Raw genomic sequence first — 13,846 nt, forward strand, 5'->3', positions numbered from 1 at the left:
CTGAACTCAAGTGATTTGCCTGCCTCAGCCTCCCGAAGTTTTGGGATTACAGGCGTGACCCACTGTGTCCTGCTGGAGGCTTGTTTCTTTTCAGATGGTTAGGAGAGCACATGTGCCTCGGGAGGGTTAAAGGCAAGTTAGCGAGCACTTGATGTGACAACCAATGGGGAGCAGGAGTTTCTGAGAGCAGGATTCAGGGTTGATTTCCTAGAAGGGGTTATGGTGCTAACAGAGGGCAGGAATGGTCTCGTGCGGGAGTGGGAAGGCCCCACACGGGGGACTCTGTGCCTAGCTACTGGCAGGACGTCCCCTGCACCTCTCCAAGCGAGGGCTGAAGAGAAAGAACCTGGAGCAGAGGTCTGGAGGAAGCCATTGTCTGCCTGGGCGGAGGAAAAGGAGGCAGGGAGAGAGCCAGGGCTGGAGTGATGGGCAGGGCCAGGCTAAGTATGAGTTTGGGGCAAGGCCTTTGTCCCCTCAGGCCTCCAAGTCCCTGTCTTAATGTGGGTGGTTGGAGCAAATGCTCTGGGGTGAGGCAGCCCGCCAGACCTCCCTGCCTGCATCCCCTTTGTCTTGGTCTCTAACTTGCCTCTGCAGGCTTTCTTCTAGGCCCGGCAGAGTCCATCTCCTGGGCCAGACCCACTTCGGCTGTCCTTCTGTGTCTGCCACCCTCCCCCACCCCAGACACCTGGAGCCCATCAGAGTGCCTGGCACCACAGCAGCTGCATGTGCCCATAGAGGGGACAGCCTCTCTCACCCCTGCGCCTCAGACCTCACCAGTGTTTCCATCAGACACAGTAACTGGGCGCAGGGAAGGCAAAGAAGGGAAGGGAAGCACTCTGCTGTCATCAGCTCCGCCTCACCTCGGTATCTGCAGATAATCACTGAGCCATTGGGGGTTCTGCAGCATAAACTGGGTTACTTTCATCTTTCCCCATTGGTAATTTAGGGTTCAGCGTTCTTTATTTTTATTTATTTATTTTTTTGAGACAGAGTCTCACCCTGTGGTCCAGGCTGGAGTGCAGTGGCATGATTTTGGCTCACTGCAACCTCCGCCTCTCGGGTTCAAGCGATTCTCTTGCCTCAGCCTCCTGAGTAGCTGGGATTATAGGCACATGCCACCACGCCCAGCTAATTTTTATATTTTTAGTAGAGGCAGGGTTTCACTATGTTGGCCAGGCTGGTCTCAAACTCCTGGCCTCGAGTGATCCACCTGCCTCGGCCTCCCAAAGCGTTGGGATTACAGGTGTGAGCCACTGCACCCGGTGGGTTCAGGGTTCTTGCTTCTGCTAAGTTATAGGCCATCGATCTGCTTTTCTCTCTTCCAAATTTTTCTAATGTCATCTCCTCTTTTGTGATAATTATCCTCATGATTTTATGTCTTTAAAAAATAATCCCCTCTCCCTCTCCCTCTCCCTCTCCCTCTCCCCACGGTCTCCCTCTCCCTCTCTTTCCACGGTCTCCCTCTGATGCCGAGCCGAAGCTGGACTGTACTGCTGCCATCTCGGCTCACTGCAACCTCCCTGCCTGATTCTCCTGCCTCAGCCTGCCAAGTGCCTACGACTGCAGGTGCGCGCCGCCACGCCTGACTGGTTTTCGTATTTTTTTGGTGGAGACGGGGTTTCGCTGTGTTGGCTGGGCTGGTCTGCAGCTCCTAACCACGAGTGATCCGCCAGCCTCGGCCTCCCGAGGTGCCGGGATTGCAGACGGAGTCTCGTTCACTCAGTGCTCAATGGTGCCCAGGCTGGAGTGCAGTGGCGTGATCTTGGCTGGCTACAACCTCCACCTCCCAGCTGCCTGCCTTGGCCTCCCAAAGTGCCGAGATTGCAGCCTCTGCCTGGCCGCCACCCCGTCTGGGAAGTGAGGAGCGTCTCTGCCTGGCCGCCCATCGTCTGGGATGTGAGGAGCCCCTCTGCCTGGCTGCCCAGTCTGGAAAGTGAGGAGCGTCTCTGCCCGGCCGCCATCCCATCTAGGAAGTGAGGAGCGTCTCTGCCCGGCCGCCCATCGTCTGAGATGTGGGGAGTGCCTCTGCCCTGCCGCCCCGTTTGGGATGTGAGGAGCGTCTTTGCCCGGCCGCCCCGTCTGAGAACTGAGGAGCCCCTCCGCCCGGCAACCACCCCGTCTGGGAAGTGAGGAGTCCCTCTGCCCGGCAGCCGCCCCGTCTGGGAAGTGAGGAGCGTCTCCGCCCGGCAGCCACCCCGTCCGGGAGGGAGGTGGGGGGGGTCAGCCCCCGCCAGGCCAGCCGCCCCGTCCGGGAGGGAGGTGGGGGGGGTCAGCCCCCCGCCTGGCCAGCCGCCCCATCCGGGAGGTGAGGGGCGCCTCTGCCCGGCCACCCCTACTGGGAAGTGAGGAGCCCCTCTGCCCGGCCAGCCACCCCGTCCGGGAGGGAGGTGGGGGGGTCAGCCCCCCGCCCGGCCAGCCGCCCCGTCCGGGAGGGAGGTGGGGGGGTCAGCCCCCCGCCCGGACAGCCGCCCCGTCCGGGAGGGAGGTGGGGGGTTAGCCCCCTGCCCGGCCAGCCGCCCCGTCTGGGAGGTGAGGGGCACCTCTGCCCGGCCGCCCCTACTGGGAAGTGAGGAGCCCCTCTGCCCGGCCACCACCCCGTCTGGGAGGTGTACCCAACAGCTCATTGAGAACGGGCCATGATGACAATGGCGGTTTTGTGGAATAGAAAGGGGGGAAAGGTGGGGAAAAGATTGAGAAATCGGATGGTTGCCGTGTCTGTGTAGAAAGAGGTAGACATGGGAGACTTTTCATTTTGTTCTGTACTAAGAAAAATTCTTCTGTCTTGGGATCCTGTTGATCTGTGACTTTACCCCCAACCCTGTGCTCTCTGAAACATGTGCTGTGTCCACTCAGGTTTGAATGGATTAAGGGCGGTGCAAGATGTGCTTTGTTAAACAGGTGCTTGAAGGCAGCATGCTCCTTAAGAGTCATCACCACTCCCTAATCTCAAGTACCCAGGGACACAAGGCCGCAGGGTCCTCTGCCTAGGAAAACCAGAGACCTTTGTTCACTTGTTTATCTGCTGACCTTCCCTCCACTATTGTCCTGTGACCCTGCCAAAACCCCCTCTGCGAGAAACACCCAAGAATGATCAATTAAAAAATAATAATAAATAAATAATAAATAAATAAATAAATAAATAATCCTTTTTGCCTTCGAGTTTAGTGGAGCATCGGGAGAAGGCAGAGCTCTGTCTGTGTGCTCAGCCTAACTTCCTTAACAGAATTCACAGTCAGTCTAACTTAACCTCCACAACAACATCAAGGGGCCAAGAATGCACAATGGGGAAAAGATAGCCTCTCCAAGAAATGGTGTTGGGGAAACTGGATATCCACATGTGGAAGAATGAAATTGGACCCTTCTCTTACATCAAAATCAACTCAAAATTGATGAAAGACTTCAACACTAGAAGAAAACTACTAGAAGAAAACATAGGGGGAAAGCTCCGTGACAGTCTGGGTGATGGTTTTTTGGATATGATCCCAAAAGCATAGGCAACAAAAGCAAAAATAGACAAATGGGACTACATCAAACTAGATAGCTTTTGCACAGTAAAAGAAACAATCAACACAGTAAAGACAGAACCAATGGAATTGGAGAAATTATTCGCAAACTATGCATCTGATAAGGGGTTAACATCCAAAATATATAAGTGACTCAACTTAATAGCAAGGAAACAAATGACTCAATTAAAAAATGGGCAAAGGACTTGAATAGACATTTCTCAAAAAAAGACATATGAATGGACAACAGGTATATGAAAAAATGCATCACTGATCATCAGAGAAATGCAAATTAAAACCACAAGATATCACCTAATACCTGTTAGAATGGCTGTTATAAAAAAGACAGAAGATACCAAGTGTTGGCAAGGATGTGGAAAAAAGGAAACCTATACACTGTTGGTGGGAGTGTAAATTAGAATAGCCATTATGGGCTGGTCAGGAGTTTGAGACCAGCCTGGCCAATATGGTGAAACCCCCGTCTCTACTAAAAATACACAAATTAGGCAGGCATGGTAGTGCATGCCTGTAGTCCCAGCTACTCAGGAGGCTGAGGCAGGGGAATCGCTTGAACCTGGGAGGCAAAGGTTGTAGTGAGCTGAGATTGCACCTCTGCACTCCAGCCTGGGCAAGAGTGAGACTCTGACTTAAAAAAAAATAGCCATTAGGGAAAACAGTATGGAAGTTCCTCAAAAAACTAAAAATAGAACTACTATATGATCCCACAATCTCACTACTAGGTATGTATCCAAAGGAAATGAAATCAAGTCAGTCCAAGAGATATCTGTACTCCCATTTTGTTGCAGTATTATTCAAATAGCCAAGGATGCAGAATCAACCTAAGTGTCCATCAACAAATGAACGGATAAAGAAAATGAGCCTGGAGGACATTGTTAAGTGAAATAAGCCAGACACAGAAAGACAAATACTGTGTGATTTCACTGAAAACTGAAATCTAAAAAAGTCAAACTCATAGAAGCAGAAAGCAGCATGGTGGTTATCAGGGGCGAGGAGGGGAGAGGATTGGAAGATGTTGGTCAAAGAATACAAAATTTCACTTAGACAGGAAAAATAAGTTCAAGGATCGATTGTACAACCTGGTGTCTATAGTTAATAGCTATGTATTATATACTTGAAAACTGCTGAGAGGAGACTTTAAGTGTTCTCTCCATAAATAGGTGAGATAATGCATATATAAATTAGCTTGATTTAGCCATTCCACAATGTGCATAGATGTCAAAACATCGTGCTGTACACCATAAATGTATACAAGTTGTATTTGTCAATTTAAAAAATAAAAAAATGCCAAGGGGCCAGTATCATTATCCTCATTTTCCAAATAAGAAAACAGGCTCAGAGTGGATGTCTGAGGGCTTGAATGTGGCAGGACCCAGAACTGCTCACGGCCCCGTGACTCCAACACTCTTTGCACAGCTGTGCACAGCTCTCCTTGCAATGCCCAGAGAAGGTTATGCCCTCCACAGCTACAAAGATATTGGGTCTTCTGTGGCAAAACCCTGGTGACAGTGGATGCCCTGGGGTGACCACGCCGTCTTCCATCTGAATGTATCCTCCTACTGTCTGCTGTGTTAGAGATGAGGCATTATGAGAAGGAGAAACTATTTGTCAAATGTAATTAACAATTAGAAATGACCTAAATGTCTAACGGTAGCAGATTGGGTAAATAAATAATCATAGAGCCACATAAGAAGTACTATTTGGCTGTTCAGAACAATTAAGTAGAAGAGTATTTAATTTCATGGAAATGCTCCTGACATATTGGTACATTAGAAAAAGCAGACTGCCTAAGCAGTGAGCATGGTACAATTCCATTTTAACAACAACAACACACATATCATAACGAGTCAACATTTATATACCCATACTCATATTCATAGCAGCATATTCACAATAACGAAAACATAGAAGCAAACCAAGTGTGCATCGATGGATGAATGGACAGGGAAAATGTGGCAGATACACACGATGGAATATTATTCAGCCTTAAATGGGAAGAAAGTTCTGTCACATGCTACCAAATGGATGAACTGTGAGGACACTGCGCTAAGTGAAGTGAGACAGTCACAAAAAGACAAATACTGTATGATTCCACTTATATGAGGTGCTTAAAGTAGTCAAATTCATAGAAACAGAAAGTAGAATAGTGGTTACCAGGGGCTGGGCGATGGGAAGAATGCGGAGTTAGTGTTTAATGAGTACAGAGTTTCAGTTTTAGGGGATGATAAGTTGCTGGACAGCACAGCTGTCCATAGGAACCAGCCATAAGCCACTGGGGCTTGCAGTGCACTGGAAATGTGGCTCGCCTGAATTGCGATGGGCTATAAATGTAAAACCCACTGTAGATTGTAAGACTTGGTATGTAAAAAAGAATATAACTTTTCTCATGAAGGATTTTTTTTTTTTTGAGATGGAGTCTCGCTCTGTTGCCCAGGCTGGAGTGCAGTGGCATGATCTCAGCTCACTGCAACTTCCGCCTCCTGGGTTCAAGAGATTCTCCTGCCTCAGCCACCCGCATAGCTGGGACTACAGGTTTGTGCTACCAGGCCTGGCTAATTTTTGTATTTTTAGTAGAGATGGGGTTTCTCCATGTTGGCCAGGCTGGTCTCGAGCTCCTGACCTCAAGTGATCTACCTGCCTGGGCCTCCCAAAGTGCTGGGATTACAGGCATAAGCCACTGCGCCTGGCCTCACGAAGGATTTACCAAAAAAAAAAAAAAAAAAAGATTTGGCTGGACACAGTGGCACACGCCTGTAATCCCAGCACTTTGGGAGGCCGAGGCGGGTGGATTGTCTGAGCTCAGGAGTTTGAGACCAGCTTGGGCAATATGGTGAAACCCCATCTCTACTAAAATACAAAAAATTAGCCGGGCGTGGCAGCGTGCACCTGTAGTCCCAGCTACTCAGGAGGCTGAGGCAGGAGAATCGCTTGAACCCGGGAGGCGGAGGCTGCAGTGAGCCAAGATCGCACCACTGCACTCCAGCCTGGGTGAGAGTGAGACTCTGACTCCAAAAAAAAAAAAAAAAAAAAAAAAAAAAAAATGGAAATGATAATCTTTTGGATGTATGGGATTAAATAAAATATATTATTAAAATTAGTTTTACCTTAAAAAAAAACTTTTGAAAAGTTAAAAATTCAGTGGCTCCAAAACTCAGAAGTCTACACCACACACATTAATCTCTCATTTAAGCCCCATGCCGGTGCAGCCAGTGCGGATCCTCAGAAGGCTCTGCTGGTCACCGGGGCCCTGGCGGAGGGTGCAGCTGCCATCTCATCACTGTCAGTCGCCCTGCTAGTGGGACAGTCGCAGCTCTAGAGGATATGGCACCCTCAATTAAATGCTTGGGACTCGAAGTGACAGTTGTCATTTCTGCTCACAGCTTATTGGCCACAGCTAGTCACACGGCTCCACTCAACCACAAGGGGGCGGGGCAATCTCACCAAGTGCCCCAAAGGCAGCGATCTGGAACTATTTGGCGAACAGGGCAAAATGACTAGCTCCGTGCAGCTTTTTTATTTCTTTAAAATACATAGAATAGAATAATTTTTAAAACGTAGAACGGAATAAAATAAGAAATATAGTATGTTTAGAATTTTTAATTTAAAACTTTAAATATTAGGTTATGTTTAATTTTTTTTTATATCATGTGTGAGGTACAATAAATATTTGTGGAATGTTGACAGTTCTTTCTGAAAAGGGATCACAGCTATAATGAATATGACTTTTTGGCTTTATTACTAACAAAGTGCTTGCCCGGGGGTCATCTCATTTAAGGTATTATGGGCCTCTTTGCAGATGAAGAAACTGATCTAAGACAGATGAGTGACCTCCCCAGGTCACCCAATCAAGTGGCAGAAGTGGGACTTGGGAACAAGTAAGATAACCCATGAGACTTCTTCTTCAAACCCCAATATTTCTTCTCTTTCCTATATCAACCTCAAATCTTAAGCTTGCTATTCTTTACTTCGTTTAATAACACTAACATTTAACATACTGAGTACTATCATCACTGCTAAGGAAACTAATGCTCAGAGGAGGAGACTTGCCCAAGGTTACGTGTCCCTGAAGAGGCAAGACTTGGATTCGAATGTGGATTTATGAGAATCAAAGCTACAACCACAATGCCCTTCTGCCACTCTGGCTTATTGACCTGCTTCTAGAAAAAAACTTGAATGGCATAGGGGATAAGTTTTAAGGGGACTTCCCATGATTGTATGGTCCAGGTGGTGTTCACCCAGCAACACCTGCCTGATGCCTTCAGCCCTTCTTACCATCCTAACCCTAGAAGGGCAGATATTTTGACACCCTGCATAGAACCTGGAGCCTCAACTCATGGACATTTAAAAAACAGACACACACAAACAAAAACTCCTTGATATTAGCAAAGGTAACCAGGTGACGAAATTATGTCAGGGTTGCATTTTAAAGAGACTGTTTTATTTCTGGCTTTATGGTGCTTGATGTAAGCTTTTAGAAATGTATTTTTATGATAATCAAAGATATTTATTTTACATGCCCTTTAAAAAGTGCCAGGACTGTAAATAATAATAGCTAACATTTAGTTCCTACTATATGCCAGGCACACTGCTTAAACATTAAAATGGATTATTTCATTTTAGCCTCACAATGTCAGTGAGGTAAACATAACCCGGGACCATGGAAACAAGAAGAACCTTGATGCCTTCCTGTGCTTGTGGAAGCGGCATCAGCTGGGATTCTCAAGTACTGCTAGCCAGCGTCTGCTCTGCCTCCAGCTGCAAGTTACTTACAGGCTCTGATCCTTAAATTGCAACATTCCACCATTGGGCTGAATGATCTCGAAACTCCCGGAGAGGAGGGGCTTCTCTGAGCAGTGCTCAGCACAACAGGGCTTCCTAAACAGCCACTATTATCATCCAAACAGGGAACATGTCTTCTGAAATGAAAAGCGGTGTGTACAGTCTGACAAGTGAAAGTTCTCATAGGGCCATGGACAGAGTATTTGAGATTCTAGCATCTCTGGAAGCGTTGAGTTACAATATAGCAGTTTGGGTTGCTATCTTGCCTGCCACTAGGAAATGAGGCAGTGCTGATTCTTTTTGTCTTTTGTAACATTAGTTCATATTTATTGAGTGCTGCTGTGTGCCAGACACTATGCTATTTACAAAAATTAGCTCCTAAGTCCTCATATCCACCCTACTTCGTGGGTACTATGATCATCTTCATTTCACAGATGAGGAAACTCAGGCTTCAAAAAGTGGGCAATTTCCCAAGGTGTCACTGCTAGTAGGTGACTGAGTCCAGGCTTAGATCTGGCACTGTGGCTACAGGGTCCTCATTCTTACCACTCTGTGTTCCCTTCTCCAGCATACTAAGGACTTGGCTTTGGGAGTAGATCTGCTCACTCGAAGGAAGAGTAAACATTTGCCTCAAGCTCTTTACAGTCAGTGATCTTATCTAATCCTCACATCATCTTTCTGAGGTGAGTATCACTATTAATCCCTTTTGACAGATGGAGAAATTGAGGCTCAGAGAGGTCAGACAAGTTGCCCAAGATCAACCAGCCAAATGTGTGGTAAAACCAGGATTTCAGACCCGAACCTGTCTGACCTCAGCCTTGGCTCTGAGCCAGGGTTTCTTACCCTTTGCACCATTGATATTTGGGGCCCGATAATTCTTTGTTGTAGGGGACTGTGCTGTGCATTGCAGTATGTGCAGTAGCATCTCTGACCTCCACCCACTAGATGCCAGTAGCACTCTGCCCCCAGTTACAACAATCTAAATTATCTCCAGAAATCACCAAATATTCCCTAAGGGCAAAACTGCCCCCAGTGGACAACCCCTGCTCCCCTGCTCTAACCACTAAGCACCCAGTGCTAGGACCCATGGCAAAGCCCCAGCTGACTGCTGCTTCTGCTGCAGGACCGGGGTCTCGGGTAAGAAGAGTTAAAATAAAACCTTTACGCTGTCATTTTAAAAGCCTCATGCCAGGTGTTCCTGGCTCTATGACCCTGAAATTGACCACCACTGCACAGTGAGGTATTGACTGGGTCCCACAGCCTGCTGGGGTGAGCCCAGGATGGCTGGAGGGCCTTTTGTCTCTCAAGACTAACTTGGTGTGCTCTCGGGGGTGGAGCCCCTCCCACAGTCATCAGTGTCTCTTCTGCCCAGTGCCAAATTTGTCTGGTGGCTATTAAGGAAGCTGCCTGATGATTATCCGTTGGCTCAAGCTTGGCTTTATCTCTAGTCTTCGATTCTAAATGAGACTAATGACCATTTGAGATTCAGATTCTGCACCAACTGCCCAGCTGCCTCCTCAGTGAAGGAGCTGAAGGGGAATCCCTTACAGCCTGGTTCACTGCTCCCATCTCAGCAAATACCCCCACCAGGCAATAAGAGACCCTGGAGATACCTCCCTCTCCATCACTGCCCAAGTTCAAGCCATCACCTGATCCTGTCAATTTTGGCTTCTAAATATGGTTTGAATCCTGTGGTGCTATCCATCTCCCACTCCCCAAATAGTCTAGCACAGACTATTGCAATATCCTCTGAAAGGTACCCCCTTCATTCACCCCTGTCTTCCATTTTGTCTTCCACACTGTAGCTAGAGTAACCTTTAAAAGTGTTCATCTGAACCTACCCACCCACCTCCCCCTACACTTTCCCACTCCTACCCTAATTCATCCGGTGTCACTTCTTGTCTTTCTCCATCACTTTCTCTACTCCAGACCTACTGATTTCTATTCTCAAAAGCACCATGTTCCCTCCAACCCAGGCACTTTGCCTGTGCTGCCCCCTCAGCCTGGGCATTCTCACTCTCCTTCTGCTAGGTAACTGCACTCATCCTCAGGGGGAGCCTCCCCTGGCCCACCCAGTGAAGCCTGGGTCCAGGTCCACTGTTGCCTGCTCTTAGGGCAATGTTTCACTCTCCTTCCTCTCTCTGATCTTAGCTCATACTCCTTTGGAAGTTATTTGTTTAAACTCATCTTCCCCATGAGACTGTAGGCTTCATGATAGGAGAAATGTGTCTGTTTTTCCTCACCACTGTATCCCTAAAGCTTAGTGTATTGCCTTGGGTTGGGTATATACATCAGGCACCTTGTACCTGCTTGTTGAATGACTGAATGAACTTATATAATCCTCCCAATGAGCCTGTGATGATCTTGCCTGAGGCCAGTGCTCTTTCCTTGCTCTCACTACGTATAGAACCTGCTCTCACAGCATTACAAGACGGAGACAGTAGACTCTGACAGGCATAGAGGGCTCTGGATCCTGATTGTCTGGGCTCAAATCTCTCTTCTGCCACTTCCTAGCTGTGTGACTTTGGGTAAGTTCCTTAACATCTCTGTGCTTAATGGTACCCCTCACATGGGGTGTTGTAAGGATCAAATAAGTTAGTCTTTTTTTTTTTTTTTTTTTTTTAGACACAGCCTCACTGTATCACCAAGGCTAGAGAGCAGTGGCGTGATCTTGGCTCCCTGTAGCCTCTACCTCCCAGGTTCAAGTGATTCTCGTGCCTTAGCCTCCTGAGTAGCTGGGATTACAGGCACATGCCACCACGCCGAGCTAATTTCTGTATTTTTAGTAGAGACAGGGTTTCACCATGTGGGCCAGGCTGGTCTCGAACTTCTGACCTCAGGTGATCCGTCCACCTTGGCCTCCCAAAGTGCTGAGATTACAGGCATGAGCCACTGTGCCTGGCCAGTTTAGTCTTTAACTTGTTTTTAAAAGGGCTCAATCGCATAATAAGTTCTCCATCCATCTTAGTAGTTGCTAATAGCATTAACAGAAAACACATAGATTCTGTGATTAGATGGGCCTGATTTCTTCTCATATTCGCCCTGTGTGGCTTTGGACAAGTCATGTCACATCCTGAGTCTCAGTTTCCCCATCTGCTAAACTGGGGTCTTGAAACCTACCTCAGAGAGGGCTGTTGCGAGGGTGAGATAGGATGTGAGTGAAGCACTAGCACTGGTGCCTGGGGGTTCCCTTCCTGATGGGCCGGATTGGTCTGTGTTTGTTGCCTTTTAGACAAGAAGTTCCATGAAGGTGGGCTTCATGTCTGTGTCAGGGCTGTATCCCCTGCCTCTCTGTACCTGGCACATAGTAGATGTTCAATAAGTAGTTTTTCACTGGATGAATGAATCAATAGTAACAAGGGACCATGCTTTGCTCACCTTTGTGTCCAAAACTAGTGCAATACCTTGCATCTAATTTGAATAAATATTTGTTGACAGAATAAATAGATTTTTTAGAAATAGCTGTTTGTTTCTGTTCCCAGTTCCATTTGAATTTCTGAATTAAACTGAGAAAGATACTGTGAAGGTTAATTTTGTGTGTCAATTTGACTGGGCTACGGGATGCTTACATAGCTGGTAAAACATTACTTCTGGGTGTGTCTGTAAGGGAATTTCTGGAAGAGATTAGTAATTGAATCAGTAAATTGAGTAAAGAAGATCTGCCCTTACCAGTATGGGTGGGCAGCATCCAATCCACTGATGGCTGAAACAGAACTAAAAGGAAGAGGAATGGCAAATCCATGCTCTGTGCTTGAGCTGGAACATCCATCTTCTCCTGCCCTTGGACATCAGCTCTCCTGGTTCTCGGGTCTTCAGACTCAGACTGGGATTTACACTATCGGCTCTTGTGGTTCTCAGGCCTCCTGGCTTGGACTGGAACTACACCACCAGCTTTTTAGACCTCCAGATTGCAGATGGCAGATTGTGGAACTTCTCAGCCTTCCATAATCACAGAAGTCAATCCCTCATAATAAATCTCTTTTTATATATCTATATATAGCCTATTGGTTCTGTTCTGGAGAACTCTGATTAATATAGATACTTATAACTCATCCCAAGTCTCTCTAAGCCTTGGTATTCTTATCTGTAAAATGGGGCTATTAATAATTATCTACCACAAAGATTATTCTGAAAAGTAAATAAGACAATATGTATTTGGCACATAGAAAATGTTAGTTCACTGTTCTTCCATTCCCCGAGCTTCAGTTTCTACATCTGTGAAATGGGCATCTACTCACTCATTTCTTCATTCATTTACTGAGCAAACACAGTGCCCATGTGGAAGGCATTGTGGTTAAGACCCGGGGCAGTTAGAGAAGTTAGAGAGTTAGAGAAGTGAGGAAGCCGTGGTGAAGAACTGAGCATCTGCTTTGTGACAACACACCAATAGTCTTTAAAAGTCAGTGGGAGAAGAGCCACGGGATGTATGAGGTCTCTGGGGGCTAGAGGTGTGGGGCAAGGGGACACCCAGGGTTTCAGAGAGCTTTTTAGAGAGACTGGTATCTCCCTAGCAAGTGATGGTATCAACAACTTGGTGTGATCACCAACATCACATCACTTTGCAATGGAGTTACCTGCTGGGGCCTCTGGTTTTCATAGCCTGAGTGTGAAAGGCACGTCAGTCCTGCTGCAGCCCCACTTTCCACCCTGGCTCACAGAGCACACCAGAGTTTGGTCAGAGTGTCACATCACAGTGAGCATCTAGTTCAAACAGACATTTCCTTCTGAGATTCAGCTCTGCTCTTCTCCCTTTCTGGATCCTACCTTCACAGGGGACTGAACAGTGATTCCCCTACACTCTCAATGAGGAACAACACAGATGATGACTCTAATGAATGCTGGGTCCCTGCCTGGTTCTCCAAAGACAAGGTTGCCCTTTCCTGCAGTGGGACCCAGTGAGGCGATGCTTGGGTGTTGGAGACATGGGTGAGGCCAGGCCAGGTCTCTGGGCTCCTGCACCCAAATGGGTCACATGCTTATCTCTGATTTGCACAGCTGGCTCCACATCAACCTGCCAACGAAACTCACAAGAGATTGAAATATCTGAATTAGAATTTTATATTTAAGCTGCATATATTTGTGGGATTGGGAAGGATTAGTCATCTCCAGTGACCAAAATGTTTGCACCTGTTACCCACTTTCATTTTCAGTTGAGAGAAAGTTGCATGCCAGGGATATTTAAACATCGAGGGTGGGTCTGCTGTCAGTGGTCTGGCCAGAGGTAGAAGGATGACTGAGTCCCAGCCGCCCATCCCCAGCAGGCCTCAGGGAAGAAGCAAGATTTACGAGGCGAGAGCCTGCCTGGCCCGCTTCTTCTGTCGGGAAAGGCTTCCCTGCAGTATTTTCTGTCTCGTCAACACTGCATTTCATTTTAAATTGCAGCTGAAAGTAGATATTTTCCCTCTTGCCTATTACAAACCTCTTAATTTGTCTCTCCCTCTGCTGTTATTTGTCTCTATAAAGTGTTTTGCATGAAAGACCCACACAGCACAATGTTGCTTCACCCTGGGTTAGGTTTAACAGGAAGGGAAGATGCAGAGACTAAG

Source organism: Homo sapiens, chromosome 1 (assembly GCF_000001405.40).
Source record: "Homo sapiens chromosome 1, GRCh38.p14 Primary Assembly".
Lineage (NCBI taxonomy): Eukaryota > Metazoa > Chordata > Mammalia > Primates > Hominidae > Homo > Homo sapiens.